General features: G+C 45.4%; 1 long non-coding RNA gene across 1 annotated transcript, besides 1 other annotated feature; it reads right to left on the bottom strand.

The window, feature by feature from the left end:
* Positions 1-472: 472 nt before the first annotated feature.
* LINC01882 (long intergenic non-protein coding RNA 1882) lies at positions 473-10,409 on the bottom strand. Its single transcript, NR_110763.1, has 2 exons — positions 10,281-10,409; positions 473-917 (listed from the first exon to the last, which is right to left on the bottom strand). It is a non-coding gene; the product is annotated as a long intergenic non-protein coding RNA 1882 (long non-coding RNA).
* Positions 11,347-11,466: an enhancer, noted in NCBI's record as "active region_13105". NCBI's record gives its function as "activates an Ori minimal core promoter by ATAC-STARR-seq in GM12878 lymphoblastoid cells {active_cell/tissue: GM12878}" and the evidence as "EXISTENCE:reporter gene assay evidence [ECO:0000049][PMID:35858748]".

A 12,869-nucleotide genomic window follows, 5' to 3' on the forward strand; every position in this document is an offset into this window, starting at 1 on the left:
CCCTAAAGTGCTGGGATTACAGGTGTGAGCCACCTCGCCTGGTCCTGAGTGCATATTTTAGAGAATAAAATCACCCAACTGCCCAGCAGATACATGAGGATGAGTGAGGTTAAAGAGGACACAAGCTGTTTCTTAGATATTAATGTCAAATAAAAGGTTAGTTATCGGCTGGGCGCAGTGGCTCACGCCTATAATCCCAGCACTTTGGGAGGCCGAGGCGGGTGGATCACCTGAGGTCAGGAGTTCAAGACCAGCCTGGCCAACATGGTGAAACCCCATCTCTACTAAAAATACAAAAATTAGCCGGGCGTGGTGGCGGGTGCCTGTCATCCCAGCTACTCGAGAGGCTGAGGCAGGAGAATCTCTTGAACCTGGGTGGCGGAGGTTGCAGTGAGCCGAGATGGAGCCACTGCACTTCAACCTGGGCGATAGAGCGAGACTTTGTCTCAAACAAACAAACAAAAAAAGCTCCTGGATTCACATAACTAGAATCCTTTATTTCCCTAGAATAGATGGCCTGCATTCCATTTTTAGGAGAAAGACAGAAGAAACAGTTGTCAGAGATTTAGTTAAGGCAACCCTGCCTTAACTGTCCTGGAGTCCGTGTGGGAACAGCTCGGGCTCCAGGCCTTCAGCACTTCACTTCGTTTGCTCTGTGGAGAGAACTAAAGATTGGACTGAAGAGCCTCTTCCAGAATATTCAATTCTTAAAAACAAAGTCTGACTATCTTCAGCATACTCTACTTAATTTGTCAGGATGGCTTTCAGAAAATTCTTCAAAAACAAGAGCATTCTCTTATTAGTATTGGATGAGTCCTCGGGAATGAGTGTTCGTGGGGGACTGATCTGAGGAGAACAGGCTGCCTACTTGGCCTTTCATTGTACTTCCCCAGCCGTGTGTCCATCTTCCTGCATTCCTAAAAAGAGAAAGGGATGATTTCAGATCTAAACTGTGCACTTTTTCTTTTTAATTTTACAATTTGCATACCATAAATTTATCATTTGTAAATACAAAACTCAGTGGTTTTGTTTTAGTATATTCAGAGTTGTGCAACCATTACCACAATCAATTTTATATTTTTTATCTCAGAAAAAAAAAACCAAAACTCCTTACTCATTAACCTGGTAAACTTCATTTATTTATTTATTTTGAGATGGAGTCTCGCTCTGTTGCTCAGGCTGGAGTGCAGTGGCGTGATCTCGGCTCACTGCAACCTCCACCTCCTGGGTTCAAGTGATTCTCCTGCCTCAGCCTCCTGAGTAGCTGGGATTACAGGCATGCACCACCACGCCTGGCTAATTTTTGTATTTTTAGTAGAGACGGGGTTTCACCATGTTGGCCAGCCTGGTCTCAAACTTCTGACCTCAAGTGATCTGCTGGGCTTGGCCTCCCAAAGTGCTGGGATTACAGGCGTGAGCCACCACACCTGGCCTAGCTTGTAAACTTTATAAGCTGTTATAAAACTCTTCTCCCCTCCCCAACCCCTGCCAACAACAAATCTACTCTCTGACACCATGTATTTGCTTATTCTGAGCAATTCATAGAAAAGAAGTGATGGAATATGTGGCTTTTTGTGGCTGGCTTCTTTCACTGAGCGCATTTTCAAGTTCCATCCATGTCGTAGCCCATGTCAGCACTTCATTCCTCTTTTCTGCCAAAGAATATTCCATTTATGGATATAGCATAATTTGTTTATCCATTCTTCAGCTGATGGACATTTGAGTTGTTTCTACTTTTTAGCTATTATGAATAAGGCTGCTATGAACATTTCTGTCTATGTTCTTATGTGACCATATGCTTTTATTTGTCTTAGATGCTATATTAGGCTGGGCTCTCCAGAGAACAAAAACAGGACTTACAGGACACACACACACACACACACACAGAGTATATACACACACATACATATAGGTGCATGTGTATACACATATATACAGTATACACACACATGATTTACTATCAGGAATTGGCTTGTGTGATTATGGAGGCTGAGAAGTCCAAGATCTTCAATCAGCAAACTAGAGACTCAGGAGAGCCAGTGCTGTAAGTTCTAGTCCAAGTCCATGGGCTGAAAACCAGGAGAGCCAGTGCTGTAAGTTCCAGTCTGAGTCTGATTCTTATTTTTCTTTTTTGTTTTGTTTTTTGTTTGTTTGTTTGAGACAAGGTCTCACTGTGTCACTCAGGCTGGGGCCATCACAGCTCGCTGCAGCCTCGAACTCCTGGGCTCAAGCGACCCTCCTGCCTCAGCTTCCTGAGTAACTGGGACTACACGGGTTCGCCATCACCTTTTTTGTTCTTTGCAGGCCTTCAATGGGTTGAATGAGGCCCGCTGGCTTTGGAGAAGGCAACCCGTTTTGCTCTGTGTACTGATTCAAACATGAGTCTCATCCAGAAACACCCACAAAGACAGCCAGAAACATGTTTAACCAAACATCTGGGCCCCTTGGGGCCCACGTATGTTGACACAAAATTAATCATCACAGCTACACTCCTAGGAGTGGAATTGATGGACCACATGATAACCCTATGCTTCACTTTTTGAAAACCTGCCAAACTATTTTTCTACAGTGGCGGCACCATTTGACCTTATCGCCAGCGATGCCTGAGGGCTCTAATTTCCCCATACCTTGCCATGCCATCCTGCTGGGATGTGGCATCTCTTTGTGGTGAGAAGTGGCGTCTCTTTATCTCTTTGTAATTTTGATTTACATCTTTCTAAAGACTAAGAATGTTGAGCATCTTTTCATGTGCTTGTTAGCCATTTGTATATCTTCTTTGGAGAAATGTCTATTCAGATGCTATGTTTGTTTTTTTTTTTTTTGAGACAGAGTCTCTCTCTGTCACCCAGGCTGGAGTGCAGTGGCGTGATCTCGGCTCACTGCAAGCTCTGCCTCCCAGGTTCATGCCATTCTCTTGCTTCAGCCTCCCGAGTAGCTGGGACTACAGGCGCCCGCCACGCCCGGCTATATTTTTTGTGTTTTTAGTAGAGACGGGGTTTCACCGTGTTAGCCAGGATGGTCTTGATCTCCTGATCTCGTGATCCGCCCCCCTTCGGCCTCCAAAAGTGCTGGGATTACAGGCGTGAGCCACCGCGCCCTGCCCTATGCCCATTTTTTAATTGGGTTACTTATCTTTTTACTTTTAAGTTGTAAGAATTCTTTTTACCTTCTGGATAATAGAATCTTATCAGATACATAATTTTCAAGTATTTCTCCCACTCTGTGGCTTGTCTTTTTATTTTCTTGATAGTATCCTTTGGTGCACAAAAGTTTAAAATCTACAATGGACCTTTTTATTATTATTATTATTATTTTCAGACAGTCTTGCTCTGTTGCCCAGGCTGTAGTGCAGTGGCACAATCTTGGCTCACTGCAGCCTCCGCCTCCCAGGTTCAAGCAATTCTCCTGCCTCAGCCTCCCGCGTAGCTGGGATTATAGGCGTCTACCATCACACCAGCTAATTTTTGTATTTTTAGTAGAGACGGGTTTCACCATGTTGGCCAGGCTGGTCTTGAACTCCTGACCTCAAATGATCTGCCTGCCTCGGCCTCCCAAAGGGTTGGGATTTCAGGCGTGAGCCACCGTGCCCAGCTACAATAGATCTTTGAGTTGAGTAATACAAGCCCTGCTTCCTTTCCCCTAAAGAAGCTTGAGTCAAACCTACATTACTCATTAATGCATTAATGTGAGCACATTCTTTTGATATTGAGTCCATAAGAGAATATGTGCCTAGGAATTCACAGAAATCTAGCAGCTTGGACTTCCCCACACTGTAGAAATGGGGTTTGAGGAACTTCATTTCAGCACAGGTCAAGGGGCTCCAAATGAGTTTGGGTTATGCCACTATTAAGGAGATATTATTCACTATTATTCATTGCAAATATTGTTTACTACTTTTATTGTAATAACACACTAGTTTAGCTAAATTTTGGATAAGATAGACTTTTGAGAAGCACAACTTAAGAAGCACATTTAAAGCATTATGCCTATGGCATGATGTTTCAAGTTCTAAATAACCACATAATAGAAACACGCAATCCACAGAGAAATTGGGAACTTCCTACATATGATTTCATTAGTTATCTCAGTAATTAGTTTGGCAGATTTTGAGTAACCAAATTTTCATCTTTGCAATATATGTTTCTTTTCTTTTCTTTTCTTTTCTTTTTTTTTGAGACACAGTTTCACTCTGTTGCCCAAGTTGGAGTGCAGTGGCGTGATCTCGGGTCACTGCAACCTCCGTCCCCTGTGTTTAAGTGATTCTCGTCACTCAGCCTCCCAAGTAAGTAGCTGGGATTACAGGTGCCCTCCACCACTCCCAGCTAATTTTGGTATTTTTAGTAGAGACGGGGTTTTGCCATGTTGGCCAGGCTGGTCTCAAACTCCTGACCTCAAGTGATCTGCCTGCCTCGGCCTCCCAAATTGCTGGGATTACAGGTGGAGCCACTGTGCCCGCCCTGCAATATTTGTTTCTTAGGGAATAAACTCTTAACTAAATAACTGTTAAAAGCAGATAATGAGTATGTTAAAAATAATAATTGAAATGAGATTCTTTTCATTGAAAGAAAATACTTTTATGTTCTAATTTTTTACCAGACTTTAAACACTTTTTCTTGATAAATAGAATCAATTTCTAATTATAAGCCTGAGGCTGGTGTGGTGGCTCACACCTGTAATCCAGTACTTTGGAAGACCAAGGTGGGAGGATCGCTTGAGACCAGAAGTCCTAGACCAGCCTGGGCAACACGGTGAGACCTATCTCTACAAAAAGTAAAATGAAATTAAAAATTAGCTGGACATGGTTGTGCATGCCTGTAATCCTTAGCTACTTGGGAGGCTGAGATGGGAGGATCACTTGAGCCCAGGAGTTCAACGTTATAGCAAGACTCTGGCTCAAAAAAAGAAAGAGAGCAAGAGAGATGCATGCATGCTTATTATAAGATATTCAGAAAATATAGTTCAAAAGAATATATAAAAATAATACAAATATCACCCATAATCCTTATAGCCAGAGTTAAAAATTGTTAACCTTCTGGTGTGATACTACCCAAACTTTTGAAAATACATATATAAATGCATATATATGCATTTTAAAAAAATTACATAGAATTGTGTATGTTGCTTTTGAAAATTATTTAATTATATAAGTGATGAATACAGTCCCACTATAAACTGCTTCCTAGCTGGTCCTTCCTACCCTATGCCCCTCCTCCTGAGTGACCCATTTCCAGTTTGCTGAACGCTCTCTGACTTTTCTGTGAATCACAGTATGAAAGAATATGGCATGTCCAGCTTCCTATTAAACCTTCCAGTAGAGGGAACTGTTTGACTATCTTCTCTTTTGATGCATAAGTTCTATTTCTTTTTTCTTTATGAAAGTCTAAGCATTTTGTATGTTATTTCCACAATGCAGAACGGTATATCAGATTATAAAGTTAACTCTACTGAGTAGTTTCTAACCTAAATAAGATTTTTACATCTTATATTCCCTCTTCCACCTTTTCATTGGTTTTTGTTTTCTTTGACCTTGAGATGACATGGTTTTTAAAGGATATTGTATATTCGTAGGGAAAAAAATCATTACTGCTGGCAGAAATATAATTGTCTCTTTCCTTTGAGAAAAGGTAAATCAGGTAAAAGGAAATAAGAGGTGAGGACGAAGCTTAATTTATCTGGCAGCAATTCAATTTAAAATTCTAAACAGATTAAAACTATACTGAAACAAACAAAATGACCCTTTTTTTCTGACACGGAGTTTTGCTTTTGTTGCCCAGGCTGGAGTGCAAAGGCACGATCTTGGCTCACTGCAACCTCCACCTCCCAGGTTCAAGCGATTCTCCTGCCTCAGCCTCCTGAGTAGCTGGGATTACAGACACCCGCCACCAGGCCCGGCTAATTTTTGTATTTTTAGTAGAGATGGGGTTTCACCATGTTGGCCAGGCTGGTCTCGAACTCCTGACCTCAGGTGATCCACCCACCTTGGTTCCCCTCAAAGTGCCGTGATTACAGGCGTGAGCCACCGCACCCAGCCGACAATTTTTTTAAAGTTTCTTTGAATGGAGATGCTTTGTATTTAGATGCTCTGAAAATATTTGTTTTTCCAAGATAATAAATTCTGTGAATATAAGTATTTTCAATAATATTTTCTGTAAATTTTATATATGTATATATACTCTTTTTTAAAAAAAATTCCATAGCAGTTCTTAATTAAGAGAGCTCAGCAAAACCCGCCGGCATCTTCGGTCCATTGTGATGATGCAGTGGTGGTTTTGTTCTCACAGCTGTTAGCAATTTGCATATTAACTAAAATACCCTGAAATGGTGTAGTTAGGCAATGAAATATCCTAGTTATGAGAGTTTTCCAAATAACTGATACTCATTTAAATGCCAACACTTTTCATTTTTAACCACTGGAAGGAAATCTCTCTCAAGAGATTCAGCTTCTAAAGCAGGGGATATTGAAACCTATGTTTTGTTATTATTGACTGTGTTGTATTTTAATCCCTATGGGATTGTCTGTGTGCTCTTTGATCAGTTTTTCTCTCCCTAGCTGGCGAAGTGTGTTTGCACAGTGCCTGTATGTATCACTTGCTTAATGAATATGTGATGAATAAATGAATGACGATGACGAGACTGCTGCTCTCCAACTGTCATTTTGCATGTAGCAGCAGGTCCTGCTACTTGGCCATTCAAGCCCCGTATTCTCCCAGCTCCCCTCCCCTCCTGAGTCCCCCACCTCTTAGTTTGTCACATATAATCTGCTATGTGGAAAACCAAAATAGCCAAGTGTATTTATTAAAATTGTATTAAGAGTTAATGAAGAGTGGAGCTCAAAATGGGGACCTAAGAAACTTGGCCTTAGGAGCCTCTGTCAGCCATGACTGTTTCTAAAATAGATCATCCTTCTGAAGCAGACAGTCCAAGACTGGGCATTGCTTTTTGAAATGTGTGTGTAACTTATCTACAAGGATATCGTAAGCAAGGCATTAGGCTGGCTGTGATGGCTCACACCTGTAATCCCAGCACTTTGAGAGAGCCCAAGGTAGGAGGGTCATTTGAGCCCAGGAGTTCAAGGCCAGCCTGGGCAACATGACGAGACCCTGTCTCTACAAAAAATACAAAATATTCGCAAAGTGTGGTGGTGTACAACTGTAGTCCCAGCTACCCAGGAGGCTGAGGTGGGAGGATCACCTGAGCCTGGTGCCACTTCCAAGCATCTCCTGAATGTGACCATGTCTTATCATTGTCACTGTCGCCTGGTCTAAGCCACCATCATCTCTTATCAGAATTGTCTCCTGGCCCTGGCTCCCCTCTGGTCTCCTGTGGGGGACCTCGAAAGCTAGAGTTGCCTGGAAAGGAGGGGGTGATGGAGCCTGCAAATCTGGTCCCTGCAGGGTGGCCACTGGACAGACACAGGGTGAGGGGGGTGGAGAGAGACCCAGGGCCGCCAGCAGACACAGGAGGCTCGGGCCCTGCATTGCACGCCTGAATGTGGTCATTTGCTGCATAGTGTGGGATTTTTCAATGTATAAAGTGTCATCCTCAGTCAGACTGTCATTGCTTTAATTTCTTATAAAACGTGTGCTATGCATTTGAAGTGCACAAGACCATTTCCCGCTTAATACTGGGAAGACTGGGCTGGGCGGGTGGCTCACGCCTGTAATTCTAGCACTTTGGGAGGCCGAGGTGGGCGGATTGCTTGAGGCTAGGAGTTCGAGACCATCCTTGCTAAAACAGTGAAACCCCATCTCTACTAAAAATACAAAAAATTAGCTGGGTGTGGTGGCGGGCGCCTGTAATCCCAGCTACTCGGGAGGCTGAGGCAGGAGAATGGTGTGAACCCAGGAGGCGGGGATTGCAGTGAACCAAGATCAAGCCACTGCACTCCAGCCTGGGTGACAGAGCCAGACTCCGTCTCAAAAAAACAAAACAAAACAAAAAAACAAAAAACAAAAAAAACTGGGAAGATTGTTACTTTACAGGACATGCCCGGCATTCACGTGTGTGGTGGGAAGGGAGAAGTTGTGGAAAGAAAGGTGGACTCCATTCACAATGATGACATCCCTGAGAGGGTGAATGGGGGCAGCCAGGGTGGCAAAAGGACCTGCCGAGGAAGCGGCCGGCATCTGTGACCCCGTGGCCTGTGCTGCTAGAACAGGCACACGCCTGGCCGCCATCCACCAGCAGATGGTTCTTATTTAAATTCGGTGACAATGGCTGGGCGTGGTGGCTCACGCCTGTAATCCCAGCACTTTGGGAGGCCGAGGCAGGTGGATCACCTGAGGTCAGGGGTTTGAGACAAGCCTGGCCAACATGGTGAAACCCAGTCTCTACTAAAAATACTAAAATTAGCCTGTGTGGTGGTGGGCGCCTGTAATCCCAGCTACTTGGGAGGCTGAGGCAGGAGAATTGTTTGAACCTGGGAGGTGGAGGTTACAGCGAGCCGAGACAGTGCCACTGCACTCCAGCCTGGGCAACAGAGTGAAACTCTGTCTCAAAAATAAATCAATAAATAAAGTCAGTGACAGTGGCACATGTCACACAATATAAATGTGCACACACACACTGCCTCAGAGTTTAAATGTAAGATGAGGCCAGGTGCCGTAGATCACGCCTGTAATCCCAGCACTAGGGGAGGCCGAGGTGGGTGGATTGCTTGAGCCCAGGAGTTTGAGACCAGCCTGGGCAACATAGCAAGACCCCATCTCTACAAAAATTAGTCAGGCGTGGTGGTGCACTGGTAGTCCCAGATACTCGGGAGGCTGAGGTGGGAGGGTCACTTGAGCCCGGGAGGTCCTAGCTGCAGCGAGCTGAGATTGCACCACTGCACTCCAGACTGGGCAAAACAGTGAGACCCTCTCTCTCAAAAAAATAAAAAAATAAAAAATAAGTAAATAAATTTAAGATGATACACTGAGTTTCCAGTAGGTAGGCATCTTTGAAGGCTATTTTGTTCTGTGCTGAATGACCAGTGTTTGAAACTAAATTTGACATGCTGAGTGGCCATTCTTCACTGAGCTTTTATTTGGGGGGAAAATAATTAGTGGTTCCTGAACAGAGGCCAGCACTGTGGTTTCTTCCAGCAGCTCTTCATTCCCACCCCAGAATGGTTTCCCACTTCCCTTCAACTGCAAAATGACTCCTCCTGGTACAGCTGTGGCCGGGATCTCCCCAACCAGACCATCCTTCTCACTGTCAGGACTTTTAGAAAAATAGATAAATTCAGGCAGATGAGTTTCAACAGAGAGAAACTCTTACTTTTCAATATCTCTCTTTACAGTATTTGGCATTTTAAACATATTTTGGTCTTGAGAGAAATTTGAAGATAATAATTATTCAGCACATATTGACTGAGCACCTACTACGTGACAGACATGGTTCTAGGCACTGCAGACCCCTGCCCTCTTGAGGAGCTTACATTTTAGACAGGTGATAAACAAGCATGGGGAAAGTGTGCTCTGGTGACTGTAGCTAATAACAGCGGATAGTATAATTGAAAATTGCTAAGAGTAGGTCGGGTGTGGTGGCTTACGCCTGCAATCCCAGCACTTTGGGAGGCCGAGGCGGGCGGATCACCTGAGGTCAGGAGTTTGAGACTAGCCTGGCCAACATGGTGAAACCCTGTCTCTACTAAAAATAGAGAAAAATTAGCCAGGCATGGTGAGGGGTGCCTGTAATGCCAACTACAGGGGAGGCTGAGGCAGGAGAATCGCTTGAACCCAAGAGGCGGAGGTTGCAGTGAACCAAGAACACGCCACTGTACTCCAGCCTGGGCGACAAGAGTGAGACTCTGTCTCAAAAAACAAAACCCCAAAAAAAACAAACAAGAAAATTGCTAAGAGTAGTGTTGAAGGGTTCTCACCACACAAAAATGGTAAGTATGTGAGGCTGCAATGTTATTAGCTTGATTTCATAATTCAACAATGAATACATATTTTAAAACATAATGTTATGCACCATAAATACATATAATATTTGTTTATCAAAAAAAGGTACTCTGCATACCGTGTTGAAAAGTAACCTGGAAAAAGCAGATTAGTTTGGGATAGTCACCAGTGTCAGCTTGTTTTTCTTTTTTTGGTCACTTTCTTGCTCAGCGATCTCTGATGCTTCCTTTAGTTTGTCCCTCAGCCTTTGGGTCTGCACCCAGCCTCCCCTCCAAGCTCCACTGGGATCAGCTGTTTGCCTAAACTCCCCTCAGGCCTGGTTCTCCTGTCTTCCACCCTCCCTTCCAGCCCCAGCCCTTGCTCCCGTTTCTGCACTCTTGGAATCACTCTCACCTCGGGCGTGGTGGCTGCTTCCTGAAGTCTCTGGAGACACACAGTGGTGCACACGCTGGCCCTCTGGACTCGCTGGTGTCGGTCGCCTGCCCCGTGGCCACATCTCCTCGGATGCCGCTTCAAGGTCGCTGAGCTGCGTATGAACTATTTCCCCATCCACATCATCTCCTAGGGGGACAGTCACCTCCAGGATTTACCTCAGCTGCTCTCCATGGACACGATAGGCTCTCAGAAAAAGTTCTTTTGTTGATGAAATGGAAGAGAACCCATTAAGTAGACACACTCATACACAGCTTCTAAATAGATCTACCAGACCTCGTCCCCTGCTCTTAGAAGAGATAAACAAGTAAAAATTAATGCTTATTTTGTCATTCTATCTACCAGACATCAGTTTTTTGTTTTTTGGTTTTTGGGGTTTTTGTTTTTGTTTTTTTGAGACAGAGTTGCGCTCTGTCACCTAGACTGGAGTGCATTGGTGTTATCTCGGCTCACTACAGCCTCCACCTCCCGGGTTCAGGTGATTGTCCTGCCTCGGCCTCCCAAGTAGCTGGGATTACAGGCGCCCACTATCACGTCTGGCTAATTTTTTGTATTTTCAGTAGAGATAGGGTTTCGCCATGTTGGCCAGGCTGGTCTCGAACTCCTGGCCTCAAGTGATCCACCTGTCTCGGCCTCCCAAAGTGCTGGGATTACAGGTGTGAGACACCGCGCCCAGCCTCACTCAAATCTCTATCATGATAAACAGCATCGCTGGCTGTCAGACAAGCTCGTGACTTTGCACAGCCATCCCAAGGCCGTGGCAAGGACTCGGAATGTGGTGAAGACAGTGGAGATCCAGAGAAGCTCTTCTTTTCCAAGAGGCAGTGAATGTGAACAGACATGTTTAAGAACCTTTCCCCCGGGGGTTGCTTTTTCAGTGACTGCACCCTCAAATGCCACAGAGAAGAAACCGCAAAAGGCACAGGTGTCTTGGCAGAGTCAACAGCCTGCTCTGGGAACCCGGGGGTTTGCTCGAGGGAGGGCAGCCACAGGGGCCATCTGTTGTGAACGCTACTCACTTGAAACTGCTCTGAACTTGAACACAAAAGCTGAATACAACCAAAGCACCAACCGACAAGGCTGTTTAAAAAAAAAAAAGTTAAAAATGATCATTTGGAAGCCTGCTGGAGCCAAGAGGACAAAGAATGAGGTCAGATGCCAAGGTCAACAGAGCAGTGCCGCCATCATTCCGATACCCTGAGTCAGGCACAGCTGAAGCTTCTGCAGACGACACATGAAATCCTTGAGACTTTGTCAGTTTAACCCACATTCAAGGCCATGCCCAAGCGAAATCGTGAAGAGACAAAGTCGCCCTTGGTGGCTGCAGTGTCCACATCTGCCTGTCATACTCTGGTTCCCTGAAACCTTCCATCTTCTTTACCTTCTAAGTCTCAGGAAAACACGTGATACCAACAGTGGATGTAAATAGAGTTATGGCTTAGTTCAGGAGAATCTGGAGCTGGGAATTGGGAGTAAAACACGAAACCTTAGGCTTGGGAGCTCAGGGAAAGGTCTCACGATAAAGGACTTAGACTTGGCACCAGGTGGAGGAGGTGTCACGTGAGGCATGGGACAGAGACCTGGGCCCCTAAGGCTGCTCCCAGGGATTCTCCCTCTGTCTCCACTTGGGTCCTTCATCCTCCTTCCCAGCCAGTGCTGGCCTTGGGCCTCCCACCTCGGCGGTGCTTCTTGCTGCCTGCACTGGTAGGTGGGTGGAGAAGAGAATGAGAGCCCACACTCACCCAGATGTGCCAGTGCCATGTGTGCCTGATTAGGACAAATAACTGAAAATGGTTCGCCAACCTTGCAGCAGCTTGCGCTGGAAGAAGCAAAGCCCAGGACGGCGCCCTTGCTCTGCCCTGAGAGAATGTGCTTGGCCCACCACTCAGGAGCATGTGGACAAGGCTGTGTCCCCGGAGCGCAGACCGGGATTCACCCGCACTGCTCCAGCACCAGCAGCCAGAGACCACCAGCAAGTGCACACAGAGGGGTCTTCAGCCTGGGGGTGAATACACGCAACATGCATGGGTGAAGCATGGCTGACTCCAAACTCCAGAAGCTACCATCACACTTCTGTGTGCTGCACTGTAACTGTGTGCCTGTGTGTGTGCATGCGTGCACACGTGTGTACGTATAGTATAGCATGGTATAGTATTGTATATAGTCAGTTAACTCCTTGGTTGCAAATGACAGTTGATGTCCAAATGACTTAAGATAACACACAAAAAATTGACCAATAACACTACAGGGATGCAATTTAGCTTCAGACACAACTGGATCGGGGGGCTCTAATGATGTCCTCAGGACCTGGACCCTCTCCAGTGGTTAGTGCTCCCCTCATTGGGACTGGACACAGTTCCGGGCTGTCTCCACTGGGCGGATCCCAGCAACACCAGGCTGACACCTTCCCAGCCTCACATCTGGGGCAAATGCTCCCCTTCTCCAAGGTACCTGAAAAAACTCGGGAACTCAGGCAATATCCTAAACTAACAACCACATCTGGAATTGGTCACATAATGCACCTGACAGACGGGGATCAGAGGACACCAG

Source organism: Homo sapiens, chromosome 18, assembly GCF_000001405.40.
Source record: "Homo sapiens chromosome 18, GRCh38.p14 Primary Assembly".
NCBI lineage: Eukaryota > Metazoa > Chordata > Mammalia > Primates > Hominidae > Homo > Homo sapiens.